This window comes from Homo sapiens, chromosome 4 (genome assembly GCF_000001405.40).
Source record: "Homo sapiens chromosome 4, GRCh38.p14 Primary Assembly".
NCBI classification, from domain to species: domain Eukaryota; kingdom Metazoa; phylum Chordata; class Mammalia; order Primates; family Hominidae; genus Homo; species Homo sapiens.
In genome coordinates this window covers 149474413-149499012 of record NC_000004.12, presented here as the reverse complement: position 1 = coordinate 149499012, position 24600 = coordinate 149474413, and the positions used below count along the sequence as shown (strand labels likewise).

Genomic DNA, 24600 nt, shown 5'->3' with positions numbered 1-24600 from the left:
GGTGGAGAACCTCTATTTTTGTTTATTTTTTGATTTACCACCTTTAGCTATCCCCCCTCTCTGTCTCTTAACAATTTCTCAGACAAATATCTAACTTTTTTATACATTTATTCCAGTGCAAAACTTCAATTATATTTCTTCCATGCACCCTATCCCTTTCTAACCCAAACCGGTGGGCTTTGGCTAGAATCATGGTGGGAAAGTGAGCATGGCCTGTGTGTTCCTTCACTCACCTGTGCCATCTTCTTCTGCTTCTCTTGAAGGTGGACCATGGTATTGGAGTAGTAGGAAGAAGTGGAGGGAGAAGAGGAATGTAGATATTTTTTACCTGACTGTCTTCCAATCACTTACTCTCTATGAGCTGTATGTGTTCTTCAGGGCACCCTGGGAGGGCCTCCCTACTGCGGTTTCCTGATCGAGATATGGTTCCTACATAGCCCCTCTTAGTTCCTGCCCTGCTCCTTGGTATTGCTCAGAGCCTGCTGTACCAGGGTTGCTGGGATCCCCTTGCTCAGAAGGCAGTTTTCTTGGTTGAAATGCCTACAAGGAAGTCGAAGCCTGGCTACTTTCCATGGTAAACATGATCTGCCAGGAAGATAAAATCCTTGTCACACCATAATGGAAGTGATGGCAGGTCCCACCATTGATCCTGCCTCTTCTACCACTTGTCTCAGTTCCTTTTTCTTTGGTCCAAGAGTCACAGAGCTGTTCTGCTCCATAGGCAGAAATAAAATGTTGGTCTCCTTCTTGCAACCTTACCCATTTTTGCTGGGTCATCACTTGGTTTTGTGTGGGAGGAGCATACTTCTCCCTTTTCTTGTTGAGTAAGGAGGGGAAAAACAAGTGGTTTCCTACCTAGCTCACTCAGTCGCTGCTCCAGACATTCTATCTTACATTCCTAATGCCTGTTTAAACAGGGTGGACCTGGAGTTGGGTACAGGGTAATGGTGGTAGGGCCAGTTCTAACTTTTCTTAGGAACTTTTCCAATAATATATCTGGGCTAGTCTTTAGAATGTGGTGTTTTATCACATCTATGACATTCATCTTTGGAGCATCAGAGCATCAGAACATCAGTTACAATTTGGTGGCAGGAGAACAAAAACCACTCAACATCACGTGGGAATAACATATAGACTTGTAAACCAAAAAGAAAAATACTAAGCGAAAAAATTTTATATCAGAGTACACAAACTTGCAATTGATAGAAATATATATAGGTTCTTTTTGGGTGGTTGCTTTTTTTTCTTCCTTTTTTTTTTTTTTTAAAGTGAAATACAATTTCAACATTACTTTTTTCCCTTGATAGACTTTCAGGAAAAGTGACCGATATGGTTTGGCTCTGTCCCCACTCAGATCTTATCTTGAATTCCCATGTGTTGTGGGAGGGACCCAGTGGGAGGTAACTGAATCATGGGGCAGGTCTTTCCAGTGCTGTTCTCATAATAGGGAATAAATTTTATGAGATCTGATGGTTTTAAAAAGGGGAGTTTCCCTGCACAAGCTCTCTTCTCTTGTCTGCCACCATGTGAGACGTGCCTTTTGCCTTCTGCCATGATTGTGAGGCCTACCTAGCCACGTTCTAATAAACCTCTTTTGGAAATTGCCCAGTCTCAGGTGTGTCTTTATCAGCAGTGTGAAAATGGACTGATACTATGACATTTTTCTCCTAATATCTGGCCTTCTGGAGAGGAAATGGATTAATTTGCTGAGGATGCTGGTGCCTGAAAGCCCTAGGGCTTTTCTATTATTTGTCCTGAGAGACCTTCTTAGGCCCAGTCCTTCCCTGAGGCTCCTCCTCCTCCCAGAAAGCCCAGGATCCAGCTGAGGAGGTGGGAGCTGGGGTCACTCAGAGCATTCTTTGAAAGACTGACTAGGAAATGGGCTAGACTCTCCTGCCCCATACATTAAAGAAAGGAGAGACAGAGGGCGAAATTCCATGAAGGCTTTCTGAATGCTTCTCTCTCTTCCTCCAGCAGAGCTGAACTTTCTTTCCCACCTGCAACTATCATGCCACTCTATCACTTAAAATATTTTATTACACTTATTTGTTTTTGTGCCCTCCAATAGACAGCATTTTAGGAGCAAATACCTTGTCTTATTTTGCCATTCATATTTCAGACACCAAAGGAGGCCTTGGCATGCCTCATGGCTTAAGTATTTGATGAATAAAGGGATTAATGAATATTGAATGAAAGGAATTATAAAAATAATAAAATGAGCAAATTAGTGAGCTTACAAATTTTATTAGCTTCTTATTGATGCTATAGCAAGTTACTACAAACATAATGGCTTAAAACAACAAGTGTTTACTATCTTGAAGTTCTGGAGGTCAGAAGTCCTAAAATCAAGGCATCAACAGGCTGCATTCCTCTGGAGGCTCTAGGGCAGAATCTATTTCCTTGCCTCATCTACCTTCTAGGAGCTGCCTGCATTCTTGGGCTGATGGCCTCTTCCTCATTCTTCAAAGCCAGCTTCATATCTCTTCCTCTCTGATTTCTGCTTTCATCTTTTCCTCTCCTCTGACTCTGACTCTCCTGCCTCTCTCTTATAAAGACCCTTGAGATTTTATTGGACTCACCCACATAATCCTGAATAATCTTCCAATATCAAAATACTTCACTTCATTACATCTGCAAAGCCTCTTTTTTCCATGTAAGGTAATGTGTTCACAGATTTCAGGATTGAGATGTGGATATCTTTGGGGTACTATTATTCTGTCTACCATAGATCCTTGCAGGATTCTTATAACTCATGTAATGCCTGGCTCATATTAAGTATAAATGAGAATTATATTGGGTTGGGCTAAAAATTGTTATTCCTAGAGCTAGAATTTGCAAATATTCCCATTTCACCCCCATACTCTCCTACTCCTCCACCCTCTCAAGTCTGACTCTCTTTTTAGAGAAGACTTTATTGCACATTTCTCAAAGATGCCCACTTCCCCGTACAAAGGCCAATAAATGGAAACTGCCCAGTTGCAGAATATCATTGACCTGATCCATTTGCTTAATCTCATGCAGCTAAATATCTTCCCTCTAAGATGGTGAAACACACAATACTCAGAGATCATGTAAGTAAGGAGCTATAAGATTTTTACCATTACTGAAATAAATTAGGCAAAACACTCTACCAGCTTAGGATAGACATTTATTTTTGGTGTCAATTGTTTTTAGCATATCATGACTTAGGCAAAATTACATCTGAGGAGAAGTATTTTCCCAAACTTTTCTTGGCTTCTCTAACTGAGTTACCTTTATCTTACCTATTTTTTTTACTTATACTAACCATTTTGCCTGGCAGCTCCACCCTGCTCTGCCTTTGTGTAAAAAGTTTACCTTGCCATCAAGGTTCATTCTACACTGCCCTCCTCAAAGTAGCTTTTTCGCCATCCCAGATGCTTAGACTTGGAATCAATATTTACTCTACTGTACTTTTACCATAGCACTTTTAGTGTGTGTATATGTGTGCATGTGTGCAGGTGCACATGTGTTTTGAAAGTCCTGTGGTATCAATGGTCAGAGTCATGGATTTTTGAGCCAAACTGCCTCAGTTTTAAATCCTGGCTCAAACATTTATCTGCTCAGTTGCTTGGGCTTGTCACTATATTCTAGACCCCAGAGCTTTCACCAGTAACATGGGTTTGTGTGAGATTGAATAAGTAAGGCTCTCAAACTAGTGCTTAGCTCACATTTAATATATCTTACGTGGTAGCTATTCTTTTCCAATGTTTGCTTATGTAGTTGTGTCTCTGTGTCACAGTAGATCTAGCTTTTAAAAGACAATGACAATATCCATGCCATAAGAGAGTCCCTGGAATATATAAGAAACTTAAAAATTGTTGGATTGAATGTTGTCTAAGCCTTCATTCTTTTTCTTTCTCTGTATCCCCTGTTTCTATAAATGGCACTGTCACCCTTTCATATGCCTGAGTCCCAACCTGGGGCTCTTTATCTCTACCTTTTTCTTACTTTCTCCGCTAATAACTATCCTTTATCTGTCTGTCCTTTCTGGCATTACCTCCAGTTCCAATCCTGAAGACCATAACTCTTACTACAGTAGACCATGAGTGGTTTCTTGGTTTTCACTTTGGCCCCATACAACCCATTCCCTAACCAGCAGCCAAAGAAACCTTTAAGACACATAAGTCAGATCACGATATTAACTTGCTTAAAGTCCTCCCATGACTACTGTGCTTTGAATAATATATGTTCCCCTTATTCTGATCCACCAAAATTTCTAAACCCTGGTTGCTGTCTGCTTCTCCAGTCTCATCTTGTTGCAGTCTCTCCTGTCTCATGGGCTCCACCTCCATTGGCATTTGTTCTATTCTTTATGCTTGTCAAGAAGCCTCTTACTACCTTAAGGCCTACTGTTTGCAGATGGAGTGCTGAAGGCTTGCCCTGTTTTATTCTGGACTGAGGTATTATAATTTCTTTCTGTTAGGGAAATGATGCAGTCACCCAAGTGCCTTGAGTTCTTGCTGGTTTCTTGGGCACAAACATGAAAATTGAAGACTTGATTTTTGTTTTTGTTTCCTAATCAGGGCTGTCATTTTTTGGCATTAAAAGTACAATCTCATTAGGGACTTTAGTGTATTGAAATTACTGAAGGCAACAAAAGATCAGAGCTTTGAATGACATTCATACCTATGCAATTGTATTGAGACACGTTTCCTTGGTTGCTGCTGGTTATTTTTCTTTATATTCCCTTATTTGTTGCACAGACTTGTTGCAATTGTTGTAAATGTTTATATCTACTTATTAGAGTGATTACTTTGCATTTATGTCTCAGCAGTGTGCATACTGTAACTCACACAAAATGTTAGCCGTTAAAAACGACTGCTGTGCCTGAGTTAATTAAAAATACAGAGGAGGCTGAATCTTATTGTGGGTATCGTATCAGGCTATGTTTGGACAAGAGTTTTTATATATTGTGAAGTGGAAAGTGCAAAAAAACCCTTAAAAAAAAAAAAGAAAAGACTTGTATCTTGACAGAGCCACATGCTTGAACCATGCTTCCTAATTTTTGTACCACAAAGGAGATGGTTTGTGTCTGATTATAATTCTGCTCTTCAGAAATTTATATGCCAACAAGCTCTTGGCAGAATATAGATTTTTTTTTTTTTTTGTCATTTCCAGATTCCTTTCCCTGTAGTCCTCCCAACTACTCGCACCCACCTATTTTTTTTTTCTCCTCAGTGAAGGACAGCGTTTGCAGCAGCAACAGCACTTGAATTAACTTAATTTATTTTTCTGTGTGTTTGCAGAATGGTTCAAGGTCCATAGCAAGGTGAATCATTCTCTTATTATGCACACATTCTCAGACTGCAGAGGTCACCTAAGGGTAAAAGTACTGATTGCTGGGAGCCATTAGAATCCCCCTCCTTCTCTTCCTTTAGAAAGACAGGCAAGTCACAGGGCTACTTAATGCAAACACAGGAGATTGCTCTCAAACCACATAGTTAGAGGCAATTTCAACATATATATTTTGGGGAGATAATATATGCTAACAAGCATTTCTATACCTGCTTGGATGAACTAATAGTACTTAATTAACATTTGTGATAAATATGTCAGTTGGTAACACATTTTCCAAGAATGATAAAATTATGTTGTCCAGATTAAAATATTATTTTAAAAATCCTAATTTTGTCTTTAATTGACCAAAAATAGTTCTTTTAATTCAAGGCAAATTAAAGTTCATTTAAGTTTTTGTTGTAAGAAAATTATTTTCTCCTCTAGATCCCCTTTTTCTCAATGAGGGAAAAAAAAGAAAATTAAAGATGGCAAGAAAAATTTAAATTTTAAAGTATTTAAAGGTTGTTAACCAATTGAATATGAGGGTATTGAGAAAAAAATTCTGGATTTTCTGGATGAGTTAGTTGCATTTGGGGATCATGGGTGATCCTGGTTAACCAACTTCCCCAGGAGTGGATATTCCCCATGAGTCTGATTCACATCATAAGTAAGTCTTATACCCACCACCACCTGATGTTCAGGTAGTTTATTTTGGCAGTGCTCTTACAAGATGGACATCAGGAACACACCAGTGGCATGGGCCACATGCAGTCAGGGGTCAGATGACTTCCTGACTGGGAGGATCTCTGCCCTTTGGAGACCATTCTGAGTTTGGGGACTTCTTCCTTCTTTTTTATACCTGTTTTCAGTCTGGGCTAGTTACCAAGTGTTTCTATCATAAAGGGAATTTAAGCTATTCTTGTAAGGGTAAGCTTGTTTTAAGCTTCGTGAAAGTTGCATCTGTGCTAAGGGGATCTTGTCTCTAGGGCAAACAGGGTTTTTAAGTCCCATTGTCATATAGACCATGTAATCTTGGGGCCAGAGTTAGAAATTCCCAGACCAGGTTGCATCATACTACTAAGTGACACAGAATGTAGGCCTTGCAAGATGTTCGAATGGGCCTTATGGCTATCATTAATCTTGTAGCTACAAAATGTCTCTTATAGTATATTAAAATGTTCAAGTTGATAGTGTTACCATTAACTGAAGCAGAGAATATAAGAGGAGGAAGACTTGTGTAGGTTAGTACCAAGTAGGGCTTAGTTTGTAGATGCTTGTGTTGGAAATGTCCAACAGTCAGTTAGACGTGTTTCTTAGTAATGAAGGTGAACATTCATCCTATTGGTGCTAGAGTTATCTGACACATCTAATGTTTTAGGTCATAATCTTTTTTTCCCTTTCCACTTCTGTAACCCATCCAAAGTTGTGCAAGAAAATTACCTTTCCTGATATGAATAACACTTACTTTGATCAAAGACCTATTTAAGAGCTGCAGTCACTGTAAAGAGAAAACCCTATGGAATGGGAGAAAATACTTGCAAACCATGTATCTGATAAGAGGTTAATATCCAAAATGTATAAGGAGGTCACCTCAAGAATTTGAAAACAAAACACCAGATTAAGAAAATGGGCAGAAGATCTGAATAGACATTTCTCAAAAGAAGACATACAAATGACCAATAGGTGTATAAAAAACATGCTCAAAATCACCAATCAGCAGAGAAATTAAAATAAAAACCACAATGATATCAGCTTACACCTATTAAGATGGCATCTATGAAAAAAAATGAAAGATAACAAATGCTGGAGATGATGTAGAAGAAAGGGAACCCTTGAAAAAAATGGTAGAGATATAAATTAGTATGGCCACTATGAAAACCAGTATGGAGATGCCTCACAAAATTAAAACTGTAACTACCATATGATCCAGCAATCTCACTTCTGAGTGTGTAGACAAAGGAAATGAAATCAGTTTGTCACAGAGACATCTGCACCCCATGTTCATTACAGCATTATTCATAACAGCCAAGATATAGAATCAACCTAAGTATCCATAAATGGATGAATGGATAAAAAAATCTTATATGTACATAATGTAATACTATTTCACCTTTAAGAAGAAGGAAATCCTTCCATTTGCAAAAAACATAGATGAACCTGGAAAACATGTTAAGTGGAATAAACCAGGCGCAGAAAAACAAATACCACATGATCTCACCTACATGTGAAATCTGAAAAGGTTGTACTCATAGAAGTAGAAAGTAGAATGATGGTTTACCAGGGGCTGAGGGTTGCGGGTTGGTCAAAGGATACAAAATTTCAATTAGGAATAATAAGTTCAAAAGTTTTATTGCACAAGATGGTGACTATAGTTAATAACAATGTATTCTTGAAAATTGCTAAGAGAATAATTTTAAGTGTTCTCACCACAGAAATAAGTATGTGGGGTAATTCATATGTTAATTAGCTTAATTTAGCTATTCCATAAAGTATACGTATTTCAAAACAACACATACACAATATGTACAATTTTTTTGTCAATTAAAAAAAAGAGTTATGGTCACCTGTTAAAAAACTCCAACATGGGTCAGGAGTTCAAAAGTCAAAGCTGGTAATTTAGGCCTAGGAATTGTTTTATCCACAGTTCCACAAGATGGTGAATGGCAAAAGAGAAACTTGAAGACAATAATCAGTTCCACTCACGTACTTTATGAGCATAAGAGGCCAGGCGAGTCCCATAGGAAATGATACATCCAAACTAATCTTCCTCTTAGCATCTGTTTCCCTTCTGTTTCCTCATAGGCTACTGTCAGGGTGTGTGCTATGGTTAGCAGTCCACTTGTGTGGAGAAATCATCCAGGTCACGGGCGATTGTGATTAGCGTTACCAAGGATAAATATGTCTTTCATATGCATTATTAGAAGTAGGTAATATTTTGTTAAAGAATGAAATTTTCATGGGATGGTTGCTGGTGGGAAGAGAAGCACTTTCCAGGTACACTATGGGAGCTGTTATACATATGAGTCCTCAAAACTTGTGTTGGACCATGAGGAAAATGCGTTGTAATGAAGGAAAGGGATTGAAAGAAAAATAGTAGGCAATATATTTATTCAGTCAAAGCTGAATAATGGAGTAAAGGATAAAGAGTAGTCAGGGATAAATTAAGAATATGATTCTAAAACATTTTTCCAGTCTTACCTGATTTGGCTCATAGTATGTTTTTTATTTTCTATTGAGGAAGTTCTATCTTAGAAATAAAGATTATTTTCTTATGAAAACTCATGCAATTAGAGTTGGCAATAAACTATATTTGAGATACAAGACTTTACCTTTTTGAAAATAGGTTTAAGCATATCCCATTGAGATTGTATGATAACAGATGGTTGTTATGATCATTGTTTTCAATGTTTAATAGAATGTGACACTTGGTTTCAAAATGCTTATCAAAACATATGTATCTGCATAGGTAAATCTATTATGCATGCAGATATATATATATATCTGGTAATTGAAAATTAAAGAATTTTAGGAATCATAACTGAGTCTTTTTAGAACCATTAGTTTAGTACTTTGACTTTTTTCATTGATTATGCAACTTATTTCTCCAACCTATTATAGTAATGTTTCACACTTTATGAACCTGTTCATTTTCAGAAACTGCTTCTAGTGTTTGTAGAGCTAGCATCAGTAAAATGCAAAATCAGAGACAACTATCTTCTCTAATGTTGGATTTTTAAAGCACAAATATTGATGTTTGTATTTAACCAAACAAAAACAAAAATTTTAATCATTTTTATGTATAGCTTGTATTTCAAATTCTAGACAACTTCTCAATAATATATTTATTGTGCTTAGGAGAATTTCAATAGAATGATAAAAGCTGTATTCTAATATATGTTTATAGATATGCATATATATGTGTGTGTGTATATATATACACACACACATATATGTATTGAATTATAGAGATATCCTTGAGCCCATAATGCGTGACAGCAAAGCAGGTCAATTTTTTAAACAACAGTATTTCATTCAGTACCTTGGTGGCTGTAATTAACGTTTCTGTTTAGTTCTAATTATAGTTTTTGTATCACAGCCATTATGCTAATGGTGTTATTCAGTAGTATGTGAGATTGCATTCATTATCACTGGTGAATTAAACCTTTATTAAAGAAAAATTCCCACAGGCCTCATTCTGGAGTTAAGTAATTATTCATTTGGTTTTATCCTAGCAATTAGCTTATATACTGTAGCACTCATTATTGAGTTTCTATACCTCACTGAATGAGATTAACCTACCATGGTAAATAAAAGCCTAACAGCTCCCAAGCTCACAATGTGTTGCTTTTTAAGCAAATTATTATGTAACAAAATAAGGAATCAGAATGCATTAAAACAGCATTCTGTCTTCCAACAAATAATGTACTTGCTGAGAAGACTATGCTGGACATTTTGTGTTTAGTTCGAAATTTTAAAAAAATGCAGTTGAAGCCCTCCAACGCTAAGTTCACTGTTGTGGGTGTATGTTTTCCTTTGTTTAATTCCATTCCATTACCTCCTTGCTTGTTGAATTATGTTACTATGCCTATTTGATGTTGACAAAAGTGTAGTTCAATAGCACAGTCTCTAAATAGAACATCCAATTAGATCTCCGTTCCAAATGACTTTGAAGAGGGCTGATCATGAAAGTCTTTTAGCTAGATGGGACTTTGGAAATCACTAGAATTTGTTGATCTATAGTTTTAGTAAAAATATCTTAAATTACTGTTCTGTTTTTGCATAGCCATTCATGTCATCAAAAGGTCTACCTTCTCACTATTCTATATAAAAGGCTACTCACATTTTCAGATAATCACATTTATCAGCTGATGTTACCTTTTGAGATGAAGTGTCTAATATTACCTTTTCTCTTCTTGGGAATTATCTTAATCTACCTACTCTGCCTCTTTGATTTTTTTCTAGAATTTACTTAAAAAAATTGTTCCAAATTAAAGTTATCCTCAGGGACTGAAAAGAGGCGGTTATGACCCAATAGAGCCTTTTTGGGTCATATCTGACTATTTTCTGTCCCTAAGGAGAAAGTTGTCGCTGTTTTTACACTTTTCAATGTAGTCTGTAATCGATGTATACAACCTCAAAAACAGCAGCGTGAAGTGTGTTATGACAGCGATCTATCTGGAAAAATACTATTAACAACTTTACATAATGTATTTATGTTTCTGACCTACAAAGAAATTTATATGATGATAAACTTTGAAGTTTCAAATTTGGTTGTTTCAAATTCCAAGTCTATCCCAAATGTATTTTTGGAAAGTGAACAGTATTTTCAGATAAGATTTTTATCATTTTGAAATAGTTGGCTCATTTTAGCATAACTATATTTTTATGCCTGTTTTATAATCAGAATATTCCTCACAGTACTGATTCATTGGTAAATATGTGTAAGGCAAATTAATATATTTATTTCTGAATGTTTTTGTTTGTAATAGATAAATATTGCATAGTAACCCCACACTTTTCACATCAATGTAGACATTGAAATCCTTAACAGCATAACAATACCAATAAATTTATATGAAGAATTTTATATGGTAAACAAATAAAATATCATGATAAAATATGTTTAAATATTTTATACCTATCTAAATATCTTTAAAAAACACACACAGATGAAAATGGGCAGAGCAAGATGGCAGAATAGAAGCCTACACCATTCATCCCCCTAACCCCCTGCTGGAACACCAAATTTTAACAAGTATCTGCATACAGAAAAGCACCATCTGAAGAACCAAAAACCAGATGAGCAATCACAGTACCTGATTTTAATTTCATATCACTAAAAAAAGCACTGAGCTGGGCAGGAGAGAGAGAGAGTCTTGAATCGCCAGTATCACTCACCCCCATCTCCCAGAAGAGGCACTGCTACAGGAAGAGATAATCCTGTGCATTTTAAGGAAGGAGAGTGCAGTGACTAGGGGATTTTACAATGAACTCAGTGTTGCCCTGTCACAGTGGAGAATAAAGCCATGCAGTGCATAGCCTGCACCTGTGCACAAAGGGAGCACTTGGAGCTTACCTAGCCAGAGGGGAATAGCCCATCCCAGTGGTCAGTACTTGAGTTTCTTGGCAAGACTCGCCACCATGAGCTGAAGTGCCCTGGGGTCCTAGGTAAACTTAAAATGCAGCCTAGGACACAAGGACTGGAATTCCTAAACAGCTTCTAGTGCCAGGCTGAGCTTAGAGACAGTGGACTAAGGTGGCACGTGACAGGGAGACACCAACTGGCACAGCCAAGGGAGTGCTTACACCATCTCTCCCCCAATCCCAGGCAGTGTAGTTTGCAACAATGAAAGTGAATCCTTTCTGCTTAAAGAGAGGAAAGTGACGAGTAAAGAGGGCTTTGTCTTGCATCTTGGATACCAGCTCAGGCACTGTAAGATAGGGCACTGGGCAGAGTTGTGAGGTCCCTGTTCCAGGTTCTAGTTCCTGGATGTCATTTCTAGCCACACCCTGGACCAAAAGGGAATCTGCTGCCTTGAAGGGAAGGATCCAGTCTTTTCAAGATTTATCACCTGCTGACTAAAAAGCTCTTGGGCCTTGAATAACCAGCAGTGATACCAGGGAGTACACTGTGAGCCTTGGACTCTGAGACATGCTGGCTTCAGGAGTGACCCAGAACATTCCCAGCTGTGGTGTCTATGGTGAAAGACTCTTTCTGTTTGAGAAAAGCAGAGGGAAAAGTAAAAGGGACTTTGTCTTGTACCTTAGGTGCCAGCTTGGCCACAGTAGGATAGAGCAACAAGCAGGCTCTTGGGGTCTATGAGTCCAGGCCTAGGCTCTTGGACAGCATTTCTGAATCTTCCCTTGGCCAAAGGGGAGCCCACTGCCCTGAAGGGTGAGCCCAGGCCTGGGAACATTCACTACAACCTGAGGAAAGAGCTCTTGGGCTTTTTTGTTTGTTTGTTTTTGGAGACGGAGTCTTACTCTGTCACCTAGGCTGGAGTGCAGTGGTGCAATCTTGGCTCACTGCAACCTCCACCTCCTGGGTTCAAGTGATTCTCCTGCCTCAGCCTCCTGAGTAGCTGGGATTACAGGTGCACACCACCACACCTGGCTAATTTTTGTATTTTTAGTAGAGACATGGTTTCACCATTTTGGTCAGGCTGACTTGAACTCCTGACCTTGTGATTCACCTGCCTCAGCCTCCCAAAGTGCTGGGATTACAGGCGTGAGCCACAGTGCCTGGCCGAGCTTTTGGGCTTTAAGTGAACAGAACCCCAGTGGATTGGTGGTGGTGGTGGCAACAGGGAGAGGATCCTCTGCCTGTGGAAACTGGAGGGAAGAGTGGGAAGGACTTTGTACTATGGTGTGGGTGCCAGCTTAGCCACAATACAATAGAATGTCAAGTAAAATGCTAAGGTTTTTGATTCCAAGCTCTGGACTCCAAATAACATCTCTGGACACACAGATAGCATCTCTGGACACACCCAGGGCCTGGAAGAACTTGATGCCCTGAAGAGAAGGGCCTTGAGCAAGATCAAGTGCTGTGTTGGCTTCAGGTCTGACTCAGCACAGTCATAGTGGTAGTGATCACAGGGATGCTTGTGTCAGTCTACCTCCAGCATCAGGTGGCTCAGAACAGACAGAGAAAGAGAGAGAGAGAGAGAGAGAGAGAGAGAGAGAGAGAGAGAGAGAGACTCTGTTTGCTTGGGAGAAAGTAAGGGAAGTGAACAAGAGTCTCTGCCTGGTAACCCAGATAATTCTTCTGGATCTTATCCAAGTCCACCAAGGTGATACTTCTATGAGTATGCAAAAATCACAGCATTATTGGGCTAATTGTCCAAGTCTCTTTGAATACCTGGAAAGCCTTTCCCAAAATGGCAGCCCAGACTGTGAAGACTACAATAGATACCCAACTCTTCAATGCCCAGACACTGAAGAATATCTTCAAGCATCAACACCATATAGGAAAATATGGCCTTGCCAAATAAACTAAATAAGACACCAGAGACCAATCCAGGATAAACAGAGATCTATGACCTTTCAGACAGAGAATTCAAAATAGGTGCTTTGAGGAAACTCAATTCAAGATAACATAGAGAATGAATTCAGAATTCTGTCAGATAAATGTAACAGAGATTGAAATAACCTAAAAGAATCAAACAAATTCTAGAGTTGGTAAATGGAATTGACATGCAGAAGAATGAATCAGAGTCTCTTAGTAGCAGAATTGATCAAGCAGAAGAAGGAATTAGTGAGCTTGAAGACAGACTATTTGAAAATACACAGTCAGAGGAGACAAAAGATAAAAGAATAAAAAACAATAAAGCATACCTACGAGATGTAGAAAATAGCCTCAAAAGGACAAATATAAGAATTATTGGCTTTAAAGAGAGGTAGGGGAAGAGATAGGAATAGAAAGTTTATTCTAAGGAATAATATCAGAGAACTTCCCAAACCTAGAGAAAGATATCAACATTCACATATAAGAAGATTATAGAACACCAAGCAGATTTAACCCATAGAAGACTAACTCTAGGAGTTTGAAAATCAAACTCCCAAAGGTCAAGGATAAAGGATCCCAAAAGTATCAAGAGAAAAGAAACAGATAACATACAATGGAGCTACAATATGTCTGGCAGCAGACTTTTCACTGGAAAACTTACAGGCCAGGAGAGAGTGGCATGACATATTTAAAGTGCTAAAGTTAGAAAGAAAAACAGAAACAAAAAACTTTTACCCTAGATTAGTATATTTGGTGAAAATATCCTTCAGGCATGAAGAAGAAATAAAAACTGTCCCAGATAGATAAAAGCTGAGGGATTTCATCAATACCAAATGTACCCTACAGGAAACACAAAGGGGAATTCTTTAATCCTAAAGAAAAGGATGTTAAAGAGCAAGAAAAAATCGTCTGAAGGTACAAAACTCAAGCACACAGAATAACAGAATAGTATAACACACCAACTGCTGTGTGTAAGCTATTCTTGTCTTAAGTAGAAATACCAAATGATGAACCAAACAAAAATAGTAACTACAACCACTTTTTAAGACTTAGTACGGTAAGACATAAAGAAAAACAGCCAAAAGTTAAAAAAAGGGACAAAATTAAAGTGTAGAGTTTTTAATTTTTTTTGCATGTTTGTTTGTTTCTATATGCAATCAATGTTAAGGTGTCATCAGTTTAAAATAATGGGTTATAAGAGAGTATTTGCATGGCCTCTGGTAACCTAAAATTGAAAAATATACAATAGATACACAAAAAATAAAAAGCAAGAAATAATACCACCGGTGAAAATCACCTTCATTGAAAGGAGGACAGGTGGTGAAGGAAACAGAAAAGACTGAAAAACAACCTAAAAAACAAATAACAAAATGGCAGGAATAAGTCCCTACTTATCAATAATAACATTGAATGCAAACTGAGTTAACTCTACAATCAAAAGACATAAAGCGGCTGAATGGATGAAAAAACAAGACTCAATGATCCATTGTCTATAAGAAACATACTTCACCTGTCAAGATACACACAGGCTGAAAATATGTATTTCAGGGATGGAAAGAGATATTCCATGCCAATGGAAACAAACAAACAAAAAAAGAGCAGGAGTAGCTATACCTATATCAGATGAAATAGATATCAAGACAAAACAAATTTCAAGACAAAAACTGTAAGAAGCGACAAAGAAGGTCACTACATTATGACAAAGGAATTAATTTAGCAAGAGGATATCATGATTGTAAATATATATGCATCCAAACTGGAGCACCCAGATAGATAAAGCAAATATTATTGGAGCTAAAGAGAGAGATAGGCTCCAATACAATAACAGCTGGAGACCTCAACACCCCAGATTCAGCACTGGATAGATCTCACAAACAGAAAATAAACAAAGAAAGCTCAAACTTGATTTGCACTATAGAAAAAAATGAACTAGTAGATATTTACAGAACATTTCATCCAATGGCTACAGAACACACATTATTTTCTTCAGCATATGGACCCATCCCAAGGAGAGACCATATGTTACGTCACAAAACAACTCTCAAAGCATTCCAAAAAACTGAAATAACATCAAGCATCTTCTCTTCCCACAATAGAATAAAACTAGATATCAATAACTAGAGGAATTTTGGAAACTATACAAACACATGGAAATTAAACAATATGCCTCTTAATGACTAGTGGGCCAATGAAGGAATTCAGAAGAAAATTGAAATATTTCTTGAAACAGTTAGTAATGGAAACTCAACATAAAAAACCTATAGGATACAGCAAAACCAATACTAAGGAGGGAAATTTATAGCTATAAGAACCTGCATCAAAAAGAAGAAAAACTTCAAATAAATATCCAATAATATACCTTTAAAAATTAGAAAACCAAGAGCAAACCAAACTCAAAATTAGGAGAAGAAAAGAAATAATGATGGTCAGAGCAGAAATAAATGAATTTGAAATGAAGAAAACAATACAAAAGATCAATGAAACAAAAAGTTTTTTTGCAAAGATAAAGAAAATCAACAAACCCTTAGCCAAACTAACTACAAAAAAGAGAGAAGATGCAAATAAATATTAATAAAATCAGTGATGAAAAAGGAAACATTACAACTAATACCACAGAAATTCAAAGGATTGTTAGTGACTACTATGAACAACTATATGCCAATGAATTGGAAAATTTAGAAGAAATGGATACATTCCTAGAAACATACAACCTACCAAGGTTGAACCATGAAGAAATTCAATACCTGAACAGACCAATAGGAAGTAGCTAGAATAAAGCCATAATAAAACATCTACCAGTAATGAAAAGCCTGGGACTCAATGGCTTCACTGCTGAATTATACCAAACATTAAAAAAAATACCAATTCTACTCAAACTGTTATGAAAAATAAGAAGAACATGTTTCCAAATTTATTATATGAAGACAGTATTACCCTGATACCAAAACCAAAGACACATTAAAAAAAAAAAGAAAACTTCAGGCCAATATCTCTGATGAATATTGATGCAAAAATCCTCAAAAAATACTGGAAAATTGAATTAAAAAATAAGTTGTAATGATTATTCATCATGACCAAGTGGAACTTATCCCAGGGATTCAAGGATGGTTCAACATATGCAAATCAACCAGTGTGATACATCATATCAACAAAATGAAGGACAAAACCATATGACCATTTCAATTGATTCTAAAAAAGAATTTCATAAAATTCAACATCCCTTCATGATAAAAAACCTCCAATAATTGGGTACAGAAGGAGCATACCTCAACATAATAAAAGCCATTTATGACAGACTCACAGCTAGTATCATATTGAAAGGGGAAAACCTGAAACCCTTTTCTCTAAGACCTGGAACATGACAAGGATGCCTACTTTCACCACTGTTATTCAACATGGCATTAGAAATTCTAGCTAGAGCAATCAGACAAGAGGAAGAAATAAAGAACATCCAAATTGGAAAGGAAGAAATCAAATTATCTTTATTTGCAGATGATGTGATCTTATATTTGGAAAAGCCTACAGACTTCACCAAAAAACTATTACAACTGAAAAACAAATTTCAGTTAAGTTGCAGGATACAAAGTCAACATATAAAATGTAGTAGCATTTCTATATGTCAACAGTGAACAATCCAAAAAAGACATAAAAAGCAATTCCATTTATAATAGCCACACATAAAATTAAATACCTAGGAATTAATTTAACCAGAGAAGTAAAGAGATCTCTATAATGAAAACTATAAAACACTGATGAGAAAAATTGAAGAAAACCAACCCCCCCAAAAAAAGGAAAGATACTCCATGTTAATGCATTGAAAGAATCACTATTTTTAAAATGTCCATACTACCCAAAGCAATCTACAGATTCAATGCAATTCCTGTCAAAATACCAATGACATTCTTCACATAAATTTTTTTTGGATCCTAAAATTTTTATGGAATCACAGAAGACCCAGAATAGCCAAAGCTGTCCTAAGCAAAAAGCAAAAAAAAAAAAAAAAAAAAACAAAACTGGAAGAATCACATTACATGACTTCAAAATATACCAAAGAGCTATGGTAACCAAAAGAACATGGTACTGTCATGAAAACAGACACATAGACCAATGGAACAGAATTGAAAACTCAGAAAGAAATCCACACACCTACAGTGAACTCATTTTTGACAAGCCAAGAACATACACTGGGAAAAAGACAGTCTGTTTAATAAATGGTGCTGAGAAAACTGGTTATCCATATGCAGAAGAATAAAACTAGACCCCTATTACTTGCTCTATACAAAAATAAAATCTAGATAGATTAAAGACTTAAATATAAGCCCTCAAACTATGAAACTACTACAAGAAAACATTGGGGGAAAATCTCTAAGACATTGGTCTGGGCAAAAAGTTATTGAGTAATACTCCACAAGCATAGGCAACCAAAGCAAAAATTGATAAATGGGATCACATTAAGTTAAAAAGCTTCTGCACAGCAATGGAAACAATCAACAAAGTGCAAACAACCCACAGAATGGGAGAAAATATTTGCGAACTATCCACCTGACAAGGGATTAATAACCAAAATATAGAAGGTGTTCAAACAACTGTCTAGGAAAAAATCTAATAATCTAATAAAAAATGGGCAAAAAAATTGAATAGCCATTTCTCCAAAGAAGACATACAAATGGCAAACAGGCATAGGAAAAGGTGCTCAATACCACTGATCATCAGAGAAATGCAAGTCAGAACTGCAATGAGATATCGTCTCACCCCAATTAAAATGGCTTATATCCAAAGACAGGCAATAACAAACACTAGCAAGGATGAGCTAAGGAACCCTTGTACACTATTTGTGGGAAGGTAAATTAGGAAAACCACTAAGGACAACAGTGTGGAAGTTCCTCAAAAATCTAAAAATAGAGTTACTATAGGATCCAGCATTCCCACTGCTGGGTACATACCCAAAATAAAGGAAATAAATATATCAAAGAGGTAACTGCACTCCCATGTTTATTGAAGTAGTATTAACAATTGCCAAAATTTGGAAGCAATCTAAGTGTCCATCAATGGATGAATGCCTAAAGAAAATGTGGTACTTATACACAATGGAGTAGTATTCAACTATAAGAAAGAATGAGATCCTGTCATTTGCAATAACACGGAACTGGAAGTCATTATGATAAGTGAAATAAACCAGGCACAGAAATACCAATATTGCGTGTTCTCACTTATTTATGGGATCTAAAAATCAAAACAGTTGAACTCATGGAGATAGAGAATAGAAGGCTGGTTACTAGAGGCTAGGTAGGGTAATGGGAAGGTGTGGAGGAGATGGGGATGATTAATGGGTACAAAAACAAAGAAAAAATAAATAAGACCTAGTATTTGATAGCACAACAGGGGGCTATAGTCAATAATAATTTAAGTGTGTATTTAAAAATAACTTTAAAAAGTGTAATTGGATTGTTTATTATGCATTGCATCCCTGCACCAAAATATCTCATGTACCCCATAAATATATACACCTACTGTGTACTCACAAAAATTAAAAAGAAAAAAACTAAAAAAAATGCACAATTGGTAAATCAGAGTGATGTTATGTGGATCTACCCATGGCATATTAATTAACAATGCTTATGATGTTTGAAGAGAAAACATTTTACATGTCAGTAGTCATATAAGATCATCCTTTAATATTGGACAATGGCTTTTCATTGCAAATGAGTTGCTCTTTGTACTTCATATATTGTCTACATGTGTATTCACACTTAATTTTTCTGGGTATTATCTTGTTTCCTGGTGGCAGTTTCTACTAAAGGTCTGGGCATATGACACATTATTTAATATAAGAGCTTTGGTATAATCTCTTGGGCCCCTGTCTTGGGCTCCCTATGCATGGCTGCCTTCCTCACCCAACTTGGGACCTAACTCACTGCACCAGGCTGTCCCTGGTTGGAGACCCCTCCTTGTCCTGCTCAGACTCTGCACTCCATCATCCCAGGCCAGAGATACTGTGGCTCTCCCTGCCTGGTGCAGATGTCTACCATACTCAGTTTCACCTAATGGCTTTAGATCTGACTTGTTCAGAAAGGGAAGGAAAGAAAAAGAAGGAGGAACTCCTTGAATTCTTAATGTGGCTTTGCCACTTAAAATTGGTGTGACCTTGTGAATTTTACTCTGTTTTTCAGGGTCCTCTTCTTTAAATGGAAATAATAAGAGTGCCTATTTCTTAGAGTTACTAGGAAGATCATATGAGTTCATACATGCCAAGCCCCTAGAACAGTTACTGACATAGTAAATAGTCTCAAATAATTGAGATTTGTAATTATTATCATTGGTATTATTTTAAAATTTAAGGGGTATGCCCAAATATTATAACTTTGGCCATGTGGCAGAATCAGGATCTATGATCTCTACCCCTAGAATGGTGTTTTTCCCTCTGTATACCATGCCATTTGAGAGGAATCTTTTGAAAATAAACGGTTCATCATGTTGCCTTTCTGTATCATACTTAAGCTAATAGGTTCAATGTAACCAGTCATTGTCATTAAGTTATTCAAATATGAATTACTGTGCTATCCTATAAAAAGTTTTCTCTTCTTGCGACACTTGTCCAAATTTTGAAGCAGAGTAAAACTGAGTGATTCTTTACTTCTAAAATATGGAATTATTGCCTCTTTTGATTCTGTCAAAAGTTTTTATTCTATTGAAAGGACTCTAATCATCATCAACTAATATTTATTAAATGATTTGTTAAGAATTTGGGGGGAGGACACAGTCCCTTCCCTCTAGGTGGTTGCATTTTATTTTGAAAAATAATAAGCATATATAATCCAAATGTCCTCAGTCATCATTAACCTATACATATGAATGAAATCACATTAATGTTAATATCCAAATTTCCCCTAATTATAACTAACTGATTTGGCTGTAAGGAGTTCCATACCTATCAGTATTTTCCTAGGAGTCCCTAGAAAGACTCTTGTAGATTCTCATGTACAGGATCGTTCCTGCTTGCCTCATGTCTTCAAATGCCTGAGGAAAGCTTAAGGCTACAGTGCTATTTCCTGCGTCTTGTCTTCTCCATGAAATTGCTCCAGTGTGTTTCCTGGTAGTCCAAATCTGCATAACTCTACAGGTATCAAATATGCTGTGTTCCCTCCAGGCCTCACTGAGCCAGAATGTTATTGTTTTTCATACCTTAATGGAAAGCATATCCCTCTCACTAATTATGTATCATGACATTCTTTTCACCTGGTACCTAAACTGTCGAGTTAGTGACCCATGCATCATCATGCCCTTTGCTATTTAGAAGTCCAACAACCCTTGTTCCAGGCTGGAGAATAGGCCCAGACTTTCAGAACATGGGAGTCTATGATATCTACAATCAACAGTCTCCAGTGTGTGCAATCTTGCACCTGCCATTACACAGGCAAGAAAGACAAGTCCTGTGGTCACTAGACTTGATGCCCATCTCCTCGCAAAGACTGTTAAACTCTTGCTCACTTATTTCAAGTCACACCGGCCTGGTTTGTGTTCTTTGACTAAGCCTCAGGGGCTTTTCATGTGCTTTTCACTCTATCTTAATAATAATAACAGCTAATACTAACTGTACACTAACTACATCCCTGGCAGTATTCTAAGTAATTTTAGGTGTTTACTTGTCTAATTCCACAAAACAACCCCATGAGATAAGTACTATTATTATCTTCATTTTATAGATTAATAAACAGAAACATAGAGCTTAAGAAATTTGCCCAGTGTCATACATTTGAAGGTTGAGAGTCAGAATTTGAATCCATGCCAGAGATCTCCACTAAGCAAGTCCTTCCTGTACAAGACCTTTCTTTGAGAGCTCTGTTCCATTTGACCATACCATTCACTCCTCCCACATGCATTTTTCCCCCCAGTATACCCTCTCATTTTTTGTCATCTCTGATATCCAGTTATTCCCTCCTGGGCAATTCTAACACCTACATGGATTTCTCCAACACACGGGCCAGGATATTCCTTGACCACTTCATTTACAGTGACCTATCCTTTGTTCCGCTTTAGCTACCCATTCTGAAAGCATAATTTCATCCTTGCCATTACACATACCTGCTCCATTTCTGTTTGCATTTACCTATGGGACAATTTGATTTAATGTCTGTCTTCTTCCAGCCCCCACCGGACAGTAAGCTCTGTGAGGGCAAGGACCATGTGGATTTTTACTTCCTTATATATACCAAGTTCCCAGCACAGTGCATGATACAGAGTAAATACTCTAAATATTCACCTCCTGGTTTTTCACATGTCCTCTCCCTCTTACCAGAGGGGAATTTCTGCTTTACAGGCTCCCTTACCCTTGTGCATATCAGCTGTTGTTTACAAGGCCCTGAGAGATCATAGCCTCCCAGTTCATCAGAAAAGGCCTGAGCGTCAGTCCTCATTTGGGTTTAGCTGAGACACAGAAAAAAATAGCTTCAATAGAAAGTAGTCTAAGATAAGCTCCAAATGAACATCATCAATTGATTTATCAAAGGTGGCAGGAAGGGCATTTGGACCTTTAGTTTTAACTTTATGTATTCAGCCATATTTCACAAAAACTGATGTCTTTTGATAGGTTTAAGATCTGTTGCTACTTATTTTACCCTTAATTTCTTATCTTTGGGGTGTGATTAAATAAAAATGAAGAGAATACAGGACAGTGCTGATGGCGTATAAGCTTCTATGTAGCCAGATGCCTTCCCAGGGGCCAGATTTCAGTCTTTCCTGTATTTGTGAGGCTCTTTTCAATGTGATTTCCGTTTAATATAAATTGTAAAATTCTATTCAAATGAAAGGTTGTTGTTATTGTACCAATAGGTATATTATTAAAGTACAACAGGACTCAGTGCCACTGATCTGAGATGGAGAAGGTTTTTTTTCTGATGAATGGGCAAGTTTACCCTCCAAGTGTGCATTTTCCTATACCTGACTCCTAAAGTTTCTTAAAACTAGTTTAAAGGAAAAAAATTAAGCATTTTTTCCCCTAGAGCTTAGACTAAATCTAGTCTGATAGATATATGGGATCCAGCCTCCTCTACCTTTCGGTTGATGTCTTTTATTAGACCTTTCAAGATAATGGTTTTTTTTTCCAGTTTACAAAGAATGTATTAATACAAACTTCTATTACTTTTACAAGCCTATAGTCCCAGTCTCTTCTTCTTTGAAGTAGACTCACATAGTGACCACACTGAAATCCATATATCCCAGTCTTACAACTTGTCACTTAAGCTTTAGTAATGGTTTGATCGCTTTCTGCCTTCAAAATTAAGTCATCTTACCTATATGATAATTTCATATTGTAATACAAATCCTTACTCATCATGGAGAATCTATACTCCTCCTGCCACTCTGGGAAACTTAAGTAAGGAAACTAAGATTCATTTTGAATTTCGTTTTCTGCCAGAAGACAAGTAGGCTGATGCATCTTCCCATACAAAAACTATTTACGCCTTTGTTATTTCTATCCAGTGCCCTGCCTTTCTCTTGCTGCCATAGATGTGCCAGTTTATTCATGCTTCGATCTGAAGTTGGTTCCTTCACTTGTGCCCTAGATTCAGCCCTATCTTTCCTTCTTAAGGCCATTACTACAGTAATTTTCATCTCTCTCTCCAAATCATTATTTTTTCTTTTTACTGGATGTTTCCTATCATTATACAAACATGCTATTATTCTTCCCATCTTAAAAAACCTTCACCTCTGTCATCTGCCACTTCTTTTGCAGCAAAACTTTCTTGAAAGAGTCATCCACGCTCATTGTCTTCAATTCCTCACATCTTATTCTCTCTGAAATACACCTTCCTACCCTGTCCCTCATGACTCCATCAAAACTGCTCATGTCAAGGTCACCAATAACCTTCATTTGGCTGACTCTAATGGCCAATTCTGTTATTATTTTACTTGGCCTATCAGCATGATATCCCAAAGTTGATCGTTCCCTTCCCTTTGATATATATTTTTTTAATTTTGTTGTTATTCAAAGACAACCCACTTTTTTGGCTTTCATCCTCTTTTCTCTGGTTTTTCATTCTCATTCTCCTTTGCTGATTCTGCTTCTTCTTCCCCCCTCAGTGCTACAAGACCCCAAGCCTCAGTCTTTAGCTCTCTTCTCTTTCTCTATTTCTACTGCCCCCATGGTGATCTCTTCCATTTTATGGCTCTAAATATCATTTATATGCTGTATATGCTGACTATGCCCAAATATCTAGTTCTAGCCCAGAGTCTCTCAACACCAGGATCACATATGTATCTGCCTATTCAATATCTCCATGTGGAGGTCTAATAGATTCTCTGGATTCAAACTGAACTCCTGATTATAGTCCAAATTGGCCCCACCTATATTCTTACCCATCTTAGTTAATGACAACTCCATCCTTCCAATTGCTTCAAAATCTGGAATCTGGGGACATCTTTGACTCCTCTCCTTCTCTCATCCTCACATCTAATCTGTCAGGAAAACCTATGGGCTCTACCTTCAATGATATTCAGATATGATTACTAACCTCTCCTGCCATGAGATAGTCTCATCCATCTTTTTACCTGGATTACTGCAATAGCATCCTCACATGCTGCCTTTGTGACCCTCTAACAGCACAGAATATTTTCGACACAGTAGCCAGAATGGTCTTTTCAAAATATGTTAGGTTATGTCTTTCCTAAAAACCCTTCCTCAGTTTCTCATTCAGCTGAGTAAGGATCAAACCTTTTCAATGGCTGTTAAACCCTTGCATTATCTGGCCCCCAAACCACTCTGACTCCAACTCTTATTACTTTCCTCCTCACTCTACTTCTAGCACACTAACTTCCCTGTTTTTTTGAACACCGTGGCCATTCACCAACTGTTTCTTCTTCCTAGGATGCTCTCTACTCAGATTTTCATCCAGCTAACTACTTCATCTCCTTTAAGTCTTAGCTCAAATGATACTTCTCAGTTACGTCTACTCTGTTTTTATTTTTTAATTATATATATTTATTTATTTATTTTTGAGACAGTTTCACTCTTGTTGCCCAGGCTGGAGTACAAGGACACGATCTCGGCTCACTGCAACCTCTGCCTCCCGAGTTCAAGCGATTCTCCTGCCTAAGCCTCCCGAGTAGCTGGGATTACAGGCACATGCTACCACACCTGGCCTTTTTTTTTTTTTTTTGTATTTTTAGTAGTGACGGGGTTTCACCATGTTGGCCAGACTTGTCTCGAACTCCTGACCTCAAGTGATCTACCTGCCTCAGCCTACAAAGTGCTGGGATTACAGGTGTGAGCCACTGTGCCTGGCCTAATTTTTATTTTT

General features: G+C 37.3%; 1 protein-coding gene across 15 annotated transcripts in view; it reads left to right on the top strand.

Annotated features, from left to right (window-relative positions):
- Nucleotides 1-24600, top strand: part of IQCM (IQ motif containing M) — a 464135-nt gene that overhangs the window by 316831 nt on the left and 122704 nt on the right. The window lies entirely within an intron of this gene.